Raw genomic sequence first — 15,301 nt, 5'->3', positions numbered from 1 at the left:
TGGAGATGCTAGAAAGAAGAGGCACACTTCTTCCATTTACATCCTCTTTTTCAACCTCCCTCCACCTGCTATTTAAGGCTAGAGTCATAAGGCTGACCCACAATTGGTCTGTTATTAACCTTGAGCTGAAGAGTAAAGGATAGGATCTCTCTGACCTGTTAATTTCTGGATCTTTTTCAATCTATGCTGCTTTGAAGTCTAGAGAAGCACAAAAAGAAAAAAGAAAATCAGATTATGTTCTAGGTTAGAGACTTTATTGACAGCACTTCTCACCTTTTAGATATCAGATATTGATACATCTCATGTATCAGATATTGATACAGTTGGCATCCATAACCACATGTAAATGCCGTAACAAACATATAAATATCAGGGAATATAGAGGACGGTGATTAACTTCCTAAGAGAGAAGGGAAGAGAATTATTCAAGAAGTTGCATTTGTACTGGAGTTTAAAGAATCAGCACAAGACTTTTAGGTGAAGAAAGAGTATTTCAGGCAAGTGGGAACATCACCGAGATCAGCATGTCATGATTGTCAGGTGCACTTTTGCTAAGTAGTGGGAGATGCTAGGCTGACAAGGTAGATGGAAGCCAGGTTATGCCTAATGGTAGAATTTTAATTTTATTCTGTAGTTGGAAAACTTCTGGGATTTTTTTCAAAGTGCTCCAGGTCATTTTAAAGGCAGTAATGACATTTGTTACAATTTCAAATAAAACAATTTTTTTTTTTTGAGATGGAGTCTCACTCTGTCGCCCAGGCTGGAGTGCAGTGGTGCCATCTCGGCTCACTGCAACCTCTGCCTCCTGGGTTCAAGCGATTCTCCTTCCTCAGCCTCCTGAGTAGCTAAGCCACCATGCCCAACTAATTCTTGTATTTTTAGTAGAGACGGGGTTTTGCCACATTGGCCAGGCTGGTCTCAAACCCCTGACCTGAGGTGATCCGCCCACCTCGGCCTCCCAAAGTGCTAGGATTACAGGTGTGAGCCACTGCACCCAGCCCAGCATCCTTTTAAATGCCAAATTAAGTTCCTCGAAAAAGAGTAAGGGAAATCCTTACAGGCCAAAATTAAGGAGAAAATTGAAAAACATGAGTAGAAAATCATCTGATACTTCAACGCCCCATATCATTTGTAGTGTCAGTCAGAAGGGATTTGGGTTAACAACAAGGTAGGAGCAAAAGACAAGGCCCATGTGAAGTGTGTATTTGGAATGGAGACCCTGGGAAAAAGCCAGAATTCTCAAAAGTGCTACATGTTTACTGGAAAAGTGGCTAGGAAAAAATCTGCCCACCACAAGAAAATTTGTACTCTAGGTGGGAAAAAACAAAAAACACCTTCTCTGAGAATTTTAACCATGAGTCTATCCTCATACTGGCTTGGAGTTCTAATTTATACCCACTGTGTAGCCAGGAACCCTCAAATTGAAAATCAAAGTGGAGTGAACCTGAGCTGGTAATGCTTTAGGGCAAAAGATGAAAGTAAATGTAAATCTCCTTGGAAATTAAAAAGGAGTAGAAGTGGTCAGATGCAGTGGCTCATGCCTGTAATCCCAGCACTTTGGGAGGCTAGGCAGGAGGATCACTTGTGCTCAGGAGTTTGAGACCAGCCTGGACAACATAGTGAGACCCTGTCTCTACAAAAAATAAAAAATAATTTTAAAAAATTAGCTGGGGCAGCCAGGCACGGTGGCTCATGCCTATAATCCCAGCACTTTGGGAGGCCGAGGCAGATGGATCACTTGGGGTTGGGAGTTTGAGACCAGCCTGGCCAATATGGTGAAACACCGTCTCTACTAAAAATACAAAAAATTAGCCAGGCATGGTGGCGTGCACCTGTAATCCCAGCTACTTGGGAGGCTGAGGCAGGAGAATTACTTCAACTTGGAAGGTGGAGGTTGCAGTGAGCTGAGATCACGCCACTGAACTCCAGGCTGGGTGACAGAGCAAGACTCAGTCTCAAAAAAAAAAAAAAATTAGCTGGGTGTGGTGGTGTGTGCCTGTGTTCCCAGATACTTGGGTGGCTGAGGTAGGAGGATCTCTGGAGCCTGGGAGGTCAAGGCTGCAGTGAGATGTGATCCTTCCACTGCACTCTCCAGCCTGGGTGATACAGTAAGACCCTGTCTCAAAAAAAAAAAAAAAAAAAAAAAAAAGAAGTAGAAGAGGAAGAAGAAAACAGTTTGAATAACTACACATTAATGAATATGAAAACTCTGATAAAATAGTTAAATTCCTAGAAAAAATATAAGATACCAAAACTGGCCAAAAAGAAATAGACCATTTGAGTAGATAGTAAGTATGAAAGCAGTTGAAATGATAATCAGACATTCTACGTCAGACATAATAAAATAATTCACCAAGGTTTCTGAATACCAGAACAACTTACAAATATCAGGAGCATTTCTCTACTACAGTAAAAACTATAAAAATATAATTTAATAAAAGATATTCTTCACAATAGCAATAAAAATTATAAAAGTATCAAGATATTAAGTAAACCAAGAATACAGAAGACTTCCATGTAGAAAACTGTAAAATTCTAAAAAAAACATAGAAGATGATCTGAATAAATGGAGAGATAGTCCAAGTTCTTGGTTGGAATAACTTGAAATCACAAAGATGTCAGTACTCCCCCAATTTTTTTTTTTTTTTGAGACAGAATCTCACTCTGTCGTCCAGGCTGGAGTGCAGTGGCGCGATCTCAGCTCACTGCAACCTCCACCTCCCAGGTTCAAGCGATTCTCCTGCTTCAGCCTCCTGAGTAGCTGGGACTACATGTGCGCACCACCAGGCCCAGCTAATTTTTATATTTTTAATAGAGATGGGGTTTCACCATGCCAAGCTGGTCTCGAACTCAAACTCCTGACCTCGTGATCCACCTGCCTCGGCCTCCCAAAGTGCTAGGATTACAGGCGTGAGCCACCGCACCCAGCCAAATTAAATTATATATATATATAATTATATATATGTGTGTGTGTGTCTGTATATAGACACATATATATATATTTATTTACTTTTTTTTTTTTTTGAGACAAGGTCTCGTTCTGTTGCCTAGGCTGGAGTGCAGTGGCATGATCATGGCTCACTACAGCCTCAACATCCTGGGCTCAAGTAATTCTCAGCCTCCCAAGTAGCTGGGACTACAGGTGCATGACCCCACACCTGGCTAATTTTTTTTTATTTTTTGTAGAGACGAGGTCTCATTATGTTGCCCAGGCTTAAATTATATTTTAATGCATTCCCAATTCATATTTCATTTGGAATGTTTCAAGAACTTGTTAAATGCTCTAAAATTAATATGACAAAATAAAGGCCTACTGATAGCTAAATCAACCCTAAAAAGAACAGCAAAGGAGGGACTTGCTGTACCAAACACTAAGATACATTACAAAGCTGTAGGAAATAAAAACAGGAACACATAGACCAATGGAACAGATAGAGAGCTCGGAGACAAGCTTATGTATACATGGCCATTTATTATAATAAAGGGAGTCCCATAAATCAATGGGAAAATGATTGTTTAGCAAATGGTGATGGGAATCGGGCAAAGTGACTCACGCCTGTAATCCCAGCACTTTGGGAGGCCAAGGCTGGCAGATTGCTTGAGCTCAGGAGTTTGAGACCAGCCTGGGCTATGTGACGAAACCCCATCTCTACAAAAAAATACAAAAAGCTAGCTGGGCGTGGTGGCACATGCCTGTGGTCCCAGCTACTCAGGAGGCTGAGGTAGGAAGATCACTTGAGCCCGGGAGGTGGTTGCTTTGAGCTGAGATCACACCACTGCACTCCAACTTGAGTGAAAGAGCGAAACCCTGTCTCAAAAAAAAAATGGTTATGGGAAAACTGGCTCATTATAGAGAAAAATAAAATTGTATCACTTCCTAATACCACATATAGAGGTGGACTCCAAGTATATTAAAAACTAAAATGTGAAATGTAAGACTGGAACATAGAAAAAAAGGTAGGAGAAAATCTTTGTGGCCTAGAGCAGAGAACTCCTTAAGGAAAACTTCAGAAAAATAAACCATAGGCATAATTGCTGAAAAAGAAGATTTTAAATGTTTCCGCCACACACACAAAAGAGATAAGTGAGATGATGGATATGTTAATTCACTTGATTTAATCAATCCACAGTGTAAACATGCAACAAACCATCACATTATACACCATAAATATATACATTGGTATGTCTCAAATTAGTTTTTTGTTTTGAGACAGAGTTTCCTTCTGTCACCCAGGCTGGAGTGCAGTAGCTCAAAGTTCATGGCAACCTCTGCCTCCCAAGCTCAAGCAATTCACACACCTCAGCCTCCTGGGGAAGCTGGGATTACAGGCATGCACCACCATGCCCCGGTCATTTTTGTATTTTTCGTAGGGACAGGGTTTCATCATATTGGCCAGGCTGGTCTCAAACTCCTGACCTCAAGTGATCCACCCTTCTTGGTCTCCTGAAGTGCATGAGCCACTGTGCCAGGCTCCTCAGAAATTTTTTAATCCAGTAGAAGACCTTCCCACATGCAAATGGAACCTCAAAATGACAAATCTACCACTCACTCCTAACCTTGGGTAACTGCAAAGAAAGTTGCCTTCACACTGAGAATTCCAGGGGTCTGGGGTGAAATCCCTGAGAAGTCATAACCACAGACTAACTTTTGTATATTTGGCAGCTCAAGTTCACATTATCTGGGTTGTCCCAAAAAACCTTCAAGCCATGAATTTAAAGTGGTCCTGGACTGATTGATGGTGCCAGAGTCAAAAGTAAATGAAATATTCTTTATGGAGGCTGGGCGCGGTGGCTCACACCTGTTAATCCCAGCACTTTGGGAGGCCGAGGCAGGCGGATCACGAGGTCAGGAGATCGAGACCATCCTGGCTAACACAGTGAAACCCCGTCTCTACTAAAAATACAAAAAATTAGCTGGGTGTGGAGGCGGGCGCCTGTAGTCCCAGCTACTCAGGAGGCTGAGGCAGGAGAATGGCGTGAACCCGGGAGGCTGAGCTTGCAGTGAGCCGAGATCTTGCCACTGCACTCCAGCCTGGGTGACAGAGCAAGACTCCATCTCAAAAAAAAAAAAAAATACTCTTTGAGGAAAATATTCATCCTAGGCTTCAAAATCCTCACAAATATCGTATTTTATTAAATTTAAGATGCTATTGATTATAAAATGTACCATCAATTTATATGTAGTAGAATGAAAAAATACAGTCAAATTATTAAATACCATCAATTGTAAGACATACTCCAATTTCAGAAGTGTTAACTATTAAAAAATAAGGACAAGTGCAGAAACAAACCTGCAAAGATGTCAGGTATTGGAATTTTCAGAGGTAGATTAGAAAACACCTATGCATATTATATTTAAAGAAATAAAATGCCAGGCATGGTGGCTCACGCCTGTAATCCCAGCACTTTGGGAGGCTGAGGTGGGCGGATGATGAGGTCAAGAGATTGAGACCATCCTGGCCAACATGGTGAAACCCCATCTCTACTAAAAATACGAAAATTAGCCAGGCATGGTGGTGCGCGCCTGTAGTCCCAGCCACTCAGGAGGCTGAGGCAGGAGAATTGCTTGAACTCGGGAGGTGGAGGTTGCAGTGAGCTGAGATCACGCCACTGCCCTCCAGCCTGGGCAACCAAGTGAGACTCCATCTCAAAAAAAAAGAAAAAAGAAAAAAAATAAATAAAATACAAGTATAAATTTGTAAGAAACAGAAACCCATAAAAAGTTATCTAGCAGATTTGAAAACAGAATCAAATCTTACTTCCAGAAATTAATAAGAATGCAAAGTACTGAAATGGATGGGCTTACTAGCATTGATAAAACATTTCTGAATAAAGAATGGATAAGCACATATATTTAAATCTGAGGAGTAACCACTAAAATAATAGAAACAGAGTTCATAACTTCCAAGCTAGTAGAAGGGGAAAAAATGGAAAGAAAAAAAGCACCAGTTTGGGATTTCAATTTATAGTAATGGTTTGAACCCTCCAAATGAAAACAACAAGAAAAGTTGGACAAAATATGTTTTAAAATATCCATTTAAAGTCATTAGAGACCTATCAAGGGATCAAAAACCAGAAGAGCCAAGATCCTAGAGAAAAAGGAAGTGGAGGGAAATAAGCCCAGCTAAACTGAAATTTCACAGTTTTATGGGAATAGATGAACAAAAAAATGAGTTGAGAACCCCTAATATCCCCGGCTTTCAGCTGGAATCCCCGAAGGGCTATACCTAGGAGTAAGAATAAACCTGAAATAAACCAGGCTCAAAAATGGAAGCTCAGCCTCTGATAAATTTAATCCTTTATTGGATTGAGATGATCCCTCATCTAAATGACTGCCAGAAGCAAAAATATCGCTACTCTCTGGAGGAAAGTAACTTTATCCAGAACCTTGAATTTTCTCTTCAAAATTATATATAAAATCTCTGGTATTAAATAAAAAATTGCCATGCTTACTAGAAGACAAGACCGACTGACTGAAGACTAAGAGATAAACATGGGGAATAAAAACAAATCCAAGGCAATCCAGATATTGGTGTAATAAAACATGGATTTTAAAATATATGCCCTTTAGCTCTCCCTCTCCCTCTCCCTCTCCCTCTCCCTCTCCCTCCCCCTCCCTCTCCCTCTCCCTCTCCCTCTCCCTCCACGGTCTCCCTCTGATGCCGAGCCAAGGCTGGACGGTACTGCTGCCATCTCGGCTCACTGCAACCTCCCTGCCTGATTCTCCTGCCTCAGCCTGCCGAGTGCCTGCGATTGCAGGCGCGCACCGCCACGCCTGACTGGTTTTCGGTTTTTTTTGGTGGAGACGGGGTTTCGCTGTGTTGGCCGGGCTGGTCTCCAGCTCCTAGCCGCGAGTGATCCGCCAGCCTCGGCCTCCCGAGGTGCCGGGATTGCAGATGGAGTCTCGTTCACTCAGTGCTCAATGGTGCCCAGGCTGGAGTGCAGTGGCGTGATCTCGGCTCGCTGCAACCACCTCCCAGCCGCCTGCCTTGGCCTCCCGGAGAGCCGAGATTGCAGCCTCTGCCTGGCCGCCACCCCGTCTGGGAAGTGAGGAGCGTCTCTGCTTGGCCACCCATCGTCTGGGATGTGAGGAGCCCCTCTGCCTGGCTGCCCAGTCTGGAAAGTGAGGAGCGTCTCTGCCCGGCCGCCATCCCATCTGGGAAGCGAGGAGCGCCTCTTCCCCGCCGCCATCCCATCTAGGAAGTGAGGAGCGTCTCTGCCCGGCCGCCCATCGTCTGAGATGTGGGGAGCACCTCTGCCCCGCCGCCCTGTCTGGGATGTGAGGAGCGCCTCTGCTGGGCCGCAGCCCTGTCTGGGAGGTGGGGAGCGTCTCTGCCCGGCCGCTCCGTCTGAGAAGTGAGGAAACCCTCTGCCTGGCAACCGCCCCGTCTGAGAAGTGAGGAGCCCCTCCGTCCGGCAACCACCCCGTCTGGGAAGTGAGGAGCGTCTCCGCCCAGCAGCCACCCCGTCCGGGAGGGAGGTGGGGGGGGTCAGCCCCCCGCCCGGCCAGCCGCCCCGTCCGGGAGGTGAGGGGCTCCTCTGCCCGGCCGCCCCTACTGGGAAGTGAGGAGCCCCTCTGCCTGGCCAGCCGCCCCATCCGGGAGGGAGGTGGGGGGGTCAGCCCCCCGCCCGGCCAGCCGCCCCGTCCGGGAGGGGGGAGGGGGGGTCAGCCCCCTGCCCGGCCAGCCGCCCCGTCCGGGAGGGAGGTGGGGGGGGTCAGCCCCCCGCCTGGCCAGCCGCCCCGTCCGGGAGGGAGGTGGGGGGATCAGCCCCCCGCCTGGCCAGTCGCCCCGTCCGGGAGGTGAGGGGCGCCTCTGCCCGGCCGCCCCTACTGGAAAGTGAGGAGCCCCTCTGCCCGGCCAGCCGCCCCGTCCGGGAGGGAGGCGGGGGGGGGGGGGTCGGCCAGCCGCCCGGTCCGGGAGGGAGGTGGGGGGGGTCAGCCCCCCTTCCGGCCGGCCGCCCCGTCCGGGAGGTGAGGGGCGCCTCTGCCCGGCCGCCCCTACTGGGAAGTGAGGACCCCTCTGCCCGGCCAGCCGCCCCGTCCGGGAGGGAGGTGGGGGGGACAGCCCCCCGCCCAGCCAGCCGCCCTATCCAGGAGGTGAGGGGCGCGTCTGCCCGGCCGTCCCTACTGGGAAGTGAGGAGCCCCTCTGCCTGGCCAGCCGCCCCGTCCGGGAGGGTGGTGGGGGGGTCAGCCCCCCGCCCGGCCAGCCGCCCCATCCGGGAGGTGAGGGGCGCTTCTGCCCGGCCGCCCCTACTGGGAAGTGAGGAGCCCCTCTGCCCGGCCACGACCCCGTCTGGGAGGTGTGCCCAGCGGCTCATTGGGGATGGGCCACGATGACAATGGCGGTTTTGTGGAATAGAAAGGCGGGAAGGGTGGGGAAAAAATTGAGAAATCGGATGGTTGCCGGGTCTGTGTGGATAGAAGTAGACATGGGAGACTTTTCATTTTGTTCTGTACTAAGAAAAATTCTTCTGCCTTGGGATCCTGTTGATCTGTGACCTTATCCCCAACCCTGTGCTCTCTGAAACATGTGCTGTGTCCACTCAGGGTTAAATGGATTAAGGGCGGTGCAAGATGTGCTTTGTTAAACAGATGCTTGAAGGCAGCATGCTCGTTAAGAGTCATCACCACTCCCTAATCTTAAGTACCCAGGGACACAAACACTGCGGAAGGCCAAGGCCGCAGGGTCCTCTGCCTAGGAAAACCAGAGACCTTTGTTCACTTGTTTATCTGCTGACCTTCCCTCCACTATTGTCCTATGACCCTGCCAAATCCCCCTCTGCGAGAAACACCCAAGAATGATCAATAAAAAAAAAATAAATTAATTAAAAAAAAAAAAATATATGCCCTTTATATATACAAGAAATTAGATGACGAGATGGAGAATTTTGGCCAAGAACTAAAAACTGAAAAAAAATAAAAAAAATCTAATGGAAATTCTAGAACAGGAGAAATAAAGAACTCAGTAAGGGGTACAGATTAGACACAACTGAAGAAATGTCTGAAGAAAATATCCATAATGAAGCATGGAAAGAAAATAGATAAAAGAGCCAATAGGTATATGGGACACAGTAATAGGAGTCCCAGAAGGAAAGGGGAGACAGGAGTCCCAGACACAAAGGCAAGCAGAAACAACATTTGAAAGCTAACAGTGCAGGGAGTATATGGTAACTGTCTGTACTTTCTGCTCAATTTTGCTGTGAACCTAAAAACTGCTTTAAAATACAGTCTATTAAAAAAAAAAAAAAGGGCTTTCCAAAACTGAGAAAGCCTAAGGTGCAAGCCTTAGATGCAAGAAGTGTTATGAAGCAGCATGAAGACAAAGAAAACCTAAACTTAAGTACACTACAGAATGCTGAATACCAACACAATGAATTTTTTTTTTTTTTTTTTTTTTTGAGATGGAGTCTTGTCCAGCTCGTCAGCATGCTGGAGTGCAGTGGCGCGATCTCGGCTCACTGCAACCTCCGCCTCCCCAATTCAAGCACTTCTTCTGCCTCAGCTTCCCAAGTAGCTAGGACTACAGGCACATGCCACCATGCCCAGCTAATTTTTGTATTTTTAGTAGAGACGGTGTTTCACCATGTTGGCCAGGATGGTCTCGATCTCTTGACCTCATGATCCGCTCGCCTCAGCTTCCCAAAGTGCTGGGATTACAGGCGTGAGCCACCGCACCCAGCCCTAACACAATGGGTCTTAACCAGCAAAAATAAAAGATGCATTATATTCAAAGGAGGAATAAGATGAATAGTTGATATCTTTTAGAAATATTGGAAGCCAGAAAACAATAGAATAACATCTTTTAATGTGCTAAAAGAGACTAAGTGCCTACCTAGATATTTTTTTTCCTTTTAGAGACCAGATCTCTAAAAGGAAACTGCACCGCACTGCAGTGCGGTGACACAATCATAGCTCACTGTAACCTCAAACTCTTGGGCTCAAGCAATCATCCTGTCTCAGCCTCCTGAGTAGCTAGGACTACAGGTGCACACCACCACACCCAGCCAGTTTTTTTTTGGTTTTTGGAGAGATGGGATCTTACTGTGTTTCCCATGCTGGTCTCAAACTGCTGGCCTCAAGTGATCCTCCTGTCTTGGCCTCTCAAAGTGCTGGGATTACAGGCATGAACCATAGCACATGGCTCTTAGACTTTTATACTTAGTGAAACTACCCTTCAAAATTTAAGGCAAAATAGAGAAATTTTCAGTCAAAGAAAAGCAAACTATTCATAGTATGCCTAATTGGTCTGCCTAGGACTTTCAAAACAATGTTGAATAGAAGTAGTGAAAACAGGATTTATTCCAAGAACGCAAAGATTTTTCAACATAAGAAAATAAATCACTGTAATATACCACATTAATAACATAAAAAAGAAAAACTCACATGATCCTATAAATTGATGCAGAAAAAAGCATTTGACATAATCCTACAATAATTTATAATAAAAACACTCAACCAAACAGGAATAGAAGGAGACTTCCTTAGCATGATAAAGAGCATTGCAATGGGCTCAATGTTTATGTCCCCCCCAAAATTCATATGTTGAAATCCTTACCCTCAATGTAATGTATTAGTAGATGAGGCCTTTGGGAAGTGATTAGGTCATGAGGGGTTTCCCTCTTGAATGGGATTAGTGTCCTTACAAAAAATTCTCCAGAGGACTGGGCACGGTGGCTCACACCTGTAATCCCAGCACTTTGGGAAGCTGAGGTGGGTGGATCACTTAAGGCCAGGAGTTTGAGACCAGCCTGGTCAACATGGCGAAACCCTGTCCCTACTAAAAATACAAAAATTAGCCGGGCATGATGGCACATGCCTGTAATCCCAGCTACTCAAATAGCTGAGGCACAAGAATTGCTTGAACCCAGAAGGAGGAGGTTCCAGTGAGCTGAGATCATGCCACTGCACTCCAGACTTGGCAACAGAGCAAGACTCTGTCTCAAAAACAAAACAAAACAAAAACAAAAAACTCCAGAGATATCTCTCAGTCTTTCCACCATGTAAAAACACAGTAAGAAGTTGCCAGTCTGCAACCTAGAAGTACCTCACCAGAATCTGACCACGCTGGCACCCCAATCCTGGACTTCCCAGCCTCCAGAGCTGTGAGAAAAAAGTTTCTGTTGTTTATAAGCCACCCAGTTAATGATATTTTGTTACAGAAACCTGAATGGACTAAGATAGAAATTGGTACCAAGAAGTGAGGGTGCTGTTGCCACAAACACCAAAAAATGCATAATGAGAAGAGGGTGGAAGAGTTTTGAGGCGCATGCTAGAAAAAGCCTACATTGCCATAAATGAACTATTAAGGGTGATGCTGCTGAGGGCTCAGAAAGAAAAGAGGAGAATTGTAGAGAAAGCTTCCATCTTCTTAGAGAATATCTAAGTAATCACGAACACAATGTTTGTAGAAATATGCACAGTAAAGGCCATTCTGACGAGGTCTCAGAGAGAAATAAGGAACATATTATTAGAAACAGAGAAATGGTGGTCCTTATAAAGTGGCAAAGAACTTAACAGAATTATGTTCATGTTCTAGTGTTCTATGGAAAGTAGAACTTGTGAGTCACGAAACTGGATATTTAGCTAATGAGATTTCTTTTCTTTTTTTTTGAGACAGAGTTTTTTTCTTGTTGCCCAGGCTGGAGTGCAGTGGTGTGATCTCAGCTCACTGCAACCTCCGCCTCCCGGGTTCAAGCAATTCTCCTGCCTCAGCCTCCCGAGTAGCTGGGATTACAGGCACATGCCACCACACCCGGCTAATTTTTGTATTTTTAGTACAGACAGGGTTTCACCATGTTGGCCAGGCTGGTCTCGAACTCCTGACCTCAGGTGATCTGCCTGCCTCAGCCTCCCAAAGTGCTGGGATTACAGGCACAAGCCACCATGCCCGGCCAGCTAATGAGATTTCTAAGTAAAGTTTTGAAGAAGTGCCTTGGTTCTCCTGTTTGTGGTAAAATGAGAGAAGAATTGACTTGAAGATGGAATTATAAGGAATTAGAATTTAAGGATATGAAAAGTTTTCAGCCTATCCCTTTTGCAAAAAATGAGAAAGTGTATTCAAAGAGAACACTAAAGGTGTGACCAAGTGACCCTTTGATAAGGAGATCAGTATATGTGTGAAACATGGACTTAATCAGCCACCACAGCAGGAAAACTGCCAGGTTGAACTGAAGGAGCAGGAGATGGGAGGGAATGAGAGAAGGCTGTTGGTCTTCTTGAATTTTACAATTTGGGACCATAGAGCTCTTCAGCCACAAACATACACTATTCTGGAAGACAAGGAAAGAATAACCTGGAAGGTGATTCAGAGATCATCGGGGCTGCCACCTCAGTTTCAAAAAGAGGGACCATTGCCTCACTTTCAACAGGTTAGACAACCTCTACCCAAAGCTGTGTGGGCAGGGCCACCTGGCAAAGTCCTGGGGCTGCAACTCCTGCCAAGTAGAGCCACTGGAGCAGGTCCTTCACTCCGGTGGGTCTAGAAGTCAGGAACATTGCCCCAGTGATGCCTCATCTGTTTAAAATTGTACAGAAGTTCTAACCAGAGCAATTAGGCAAGGAAAAGAAAAGCCATGCAAATTAGAAAGGAACAAGTAAAACTGTGTTCACAGATGACACATCTTACATACAGAATATCGGAAAGAAACCAGAAGAAACCTATTAGAGCTAATAAAAGCAACTCCATTTTTAGCATCCAAAATAATAAAATACTCAGGAATAAATTTAATCAAGGACATGCAAGATTGTACACTGAGAGGTTCAAAGCATTGTTGAAAAACTAAAGAAGACCTAAATAAATGGAAAGACATCCCTTGTTCATGGATTGGAATATTTAATATTATTAAAATGGCAATATTCCCCAAAGCAATCTACAGATTCAGTATAATCCCTATCAAAATCCCAATAGCCTTTTTTACAGAAATGAAAAAGCTGGTCCTAAAATTCATATGGAATTACAAAGGTCCCTAAATAGCCAAAACAATCTTGAAAAAGAACAAAGTTGGAGGACTCATACTTCCTGATTTTAAAACTTACGAAGCTGTAGTAATCAAAACAGTGTGGTACTGGCATAAGGATAAACATATAGATCTATGAAATCAAATTGGGTCTAGAAATAAATCCATACATCTACAAATCAATTGATTTTCTATAAGGGTAACAAGACCATTAGATAGGAAAATAATAGTCTCTTCAACAAATGGTGCTGGGACAACTAGATAGCCACATGCAAAAGAATGAAGTTGGACTCTTAATTCACACCATCTAATTCAAAAAATTAATTCAAAATGATGCAAAGACCTAAATGTAAGAGCTGTAAAACTATAAAACTCTCAGAAGAAAACATAGGATTGTGATGGTTAATTTCATGTCAACTTGGCTAAGCTATGTGCCCAGCTGTTTGTTCAAAAGCTAGTCTAGGGCTGGGCACGGTGGCTCACACCTGTAATCCCAGCACTTTGGGAGGCCAAGGCGGGTGGATCATGACGTCAAGAGATCAAAACCATCCTGGCCAACATGGTGAAACCTCGTCTCTACTAAAAATACAAAAATTAGCTGGGCATGGTGGTGCACGCCTGTAGTCCCAGCTACTCGGGAGGCTGAGGAAGGAGAATTGCTTGAATCCAGGAGGCGGAGGTTGCAGTGAGCTGAGATGGCACCTCTGCACTCCAGAGGGAGACTCCATCTAACAACAACAAAAAAAAAAGCTAGTCTAGATGTTGCTTGTTGCTGTGAAAGTAGTTTTCAGATGTGCTTAACATTTAGAATTAGTACACCTTAAAGCTGATTAATGTCCATAATGTGGGTGGGCATCACCCAATCAGTTGAAGGCCTTGAGAGCAGAGACTGAGGTTTCCTGAAGAGGAAGGTATTCTGCCTCAAGACTGCAATGGAAAATCCTTGCCTGAGTTTCTAGCCTGGCCTATGCTGACTTTGGACTCAAGACTACAACATCAACTCTTGAGTTTCTGGTCTGCCCTATGGATTTCTGATTTGTAAGCCCTGACAATTTTGTGAGCCGATTTCTTAAAATCTCTCTCTCCCTGTCTCTTTTTCATATATGTGTGTTTGTTATAATAAAGAATAATCTGGTTTTGTCCCAGGTGCCTAGCATAAAACATCAGAAGCCTTTAGAATTTTGTGTTAGGGGTGTCTCTCATATAACGAGGTGAAAAAGAGAAATTACTTCTCCTATGTTAGGAGGCAGGGATAACCTTGATTCTAAAATCTAATAAGGACAATATTAGAAAGAAAAATCATAAGCCAATCTCTTTCATGAACACAGATGCAAAAGTCCTAAACAAAATATCAGCAAAGTTAATCCAATAATATATGAAAAGCATCCGCCAGGCACAGTGGCTCACACCTGTAATCCCAGCACTTTGGGAGGCCAAGGCAGGTGGATCACTTGAGGTCAGGAGTTCGAGACCAGCCTGTCCAACTTGATGAAACCCTGTCTCTACTAAAAATACAAAAACTTAGCCGAGTATGGTGGCAGGTGCCTTAGTCCCAGCTAGTAGAAAGGCTGAGGCAGGACAATCACTTGAATCCAGCAGGCAGAGGTTGCAGTGAGCTGAGATCATACCACTGCACTCCAACCTGGGTGACAGAGTGAGACTCCATCTCAAAAAAAAAAGAAGAAAAAGAAAAGAAAATAAACAAAAGCATCATGAACATATTATATTTATTCCAAGAATTCACAGTTGTTTTGTTTTCAAAACTCAGTGTAATTCAGCACATTAATAGGATAAATAAGAAAACCATATAACCATCTCACATAGAGACATGAAAATCACTTGATAAAATTTATCACCCAGCCAGGCGCAGTGACTCATGCTTATAATCTCAGCACTTTGGGATGTCAAGGCAGGCAGATCACCTGAGGAAAGGAGTTTCAGCACAGCCTAACCAAAATGGTGAAATCCCATCTCTACTAAAAATACAAAAATTAGCCAGGCCTGGTGGCACTTGCCTGTAATCCCAGCTACTCAGGAGACTGAGGCACAAGAATCGCTTGAACCCAGGAGGCGGAGGTTGCAGTGAGCAGAGATTGCACCACTGCACTCCAGCCCGGGCAATAGAGTGAGACTCTGTCTCAAAAAAAAAAAAAAAAAAAAAAAAATTTAACACCCATTCATACTAAAACTATTTGCAGACTGGAAATAAAAGGGAACCTCCTTAATTTGATAGAGTATTTTGTAAATACACTCTATCAAACATTACACATAAATGATGTGTAATGTTTATATAGCAAACATTACACATAAATGATGAATTATTGCAAACTATCCTCTACATTA

At 44.4% G+C, this 15,301-nt stretch overlaps 1 protein-coding gene across 1 annotated transcript in view; it reads right to left on the bottom strand.

Moving 5' to 3' along the window:
* SPATA31H1 (SPATA31 subfamily H member 1) overlaps positions 1-15,301 on the bottom strand; it is a 45,337-nt gene that overhangs the window by 17,188 nt on the left and 12,848 nt on the right. The window contains exon 2 of the mRNA NM_032266.5: positions 120-198. Coding sequence (NP_115642.4) covers positions 120-198 — 79 coding nt within the window. The remainder of the gene's footprint in view (positions 1-119; positions 199-15,301) is intronic.

The sequence above is a fragment of the Homo sapiens genome, chromosome 2 (assembly GCF_000001405.40).
Source record: "Homo sapiens chromosome 2, GRCh38.p14 Primary Assembly".
Classification (NCBI taxonomy): Eukaryota; Metazoa; Chordata; class Mammalia; order Primates; family Hominidae; genus Homo; species Homo sapiens.
The sequence above is the reverse complement of the archived record's forward strand: the minus strand, read 5'-3'. Positions and strand labels throughout refer to the sequence as shown.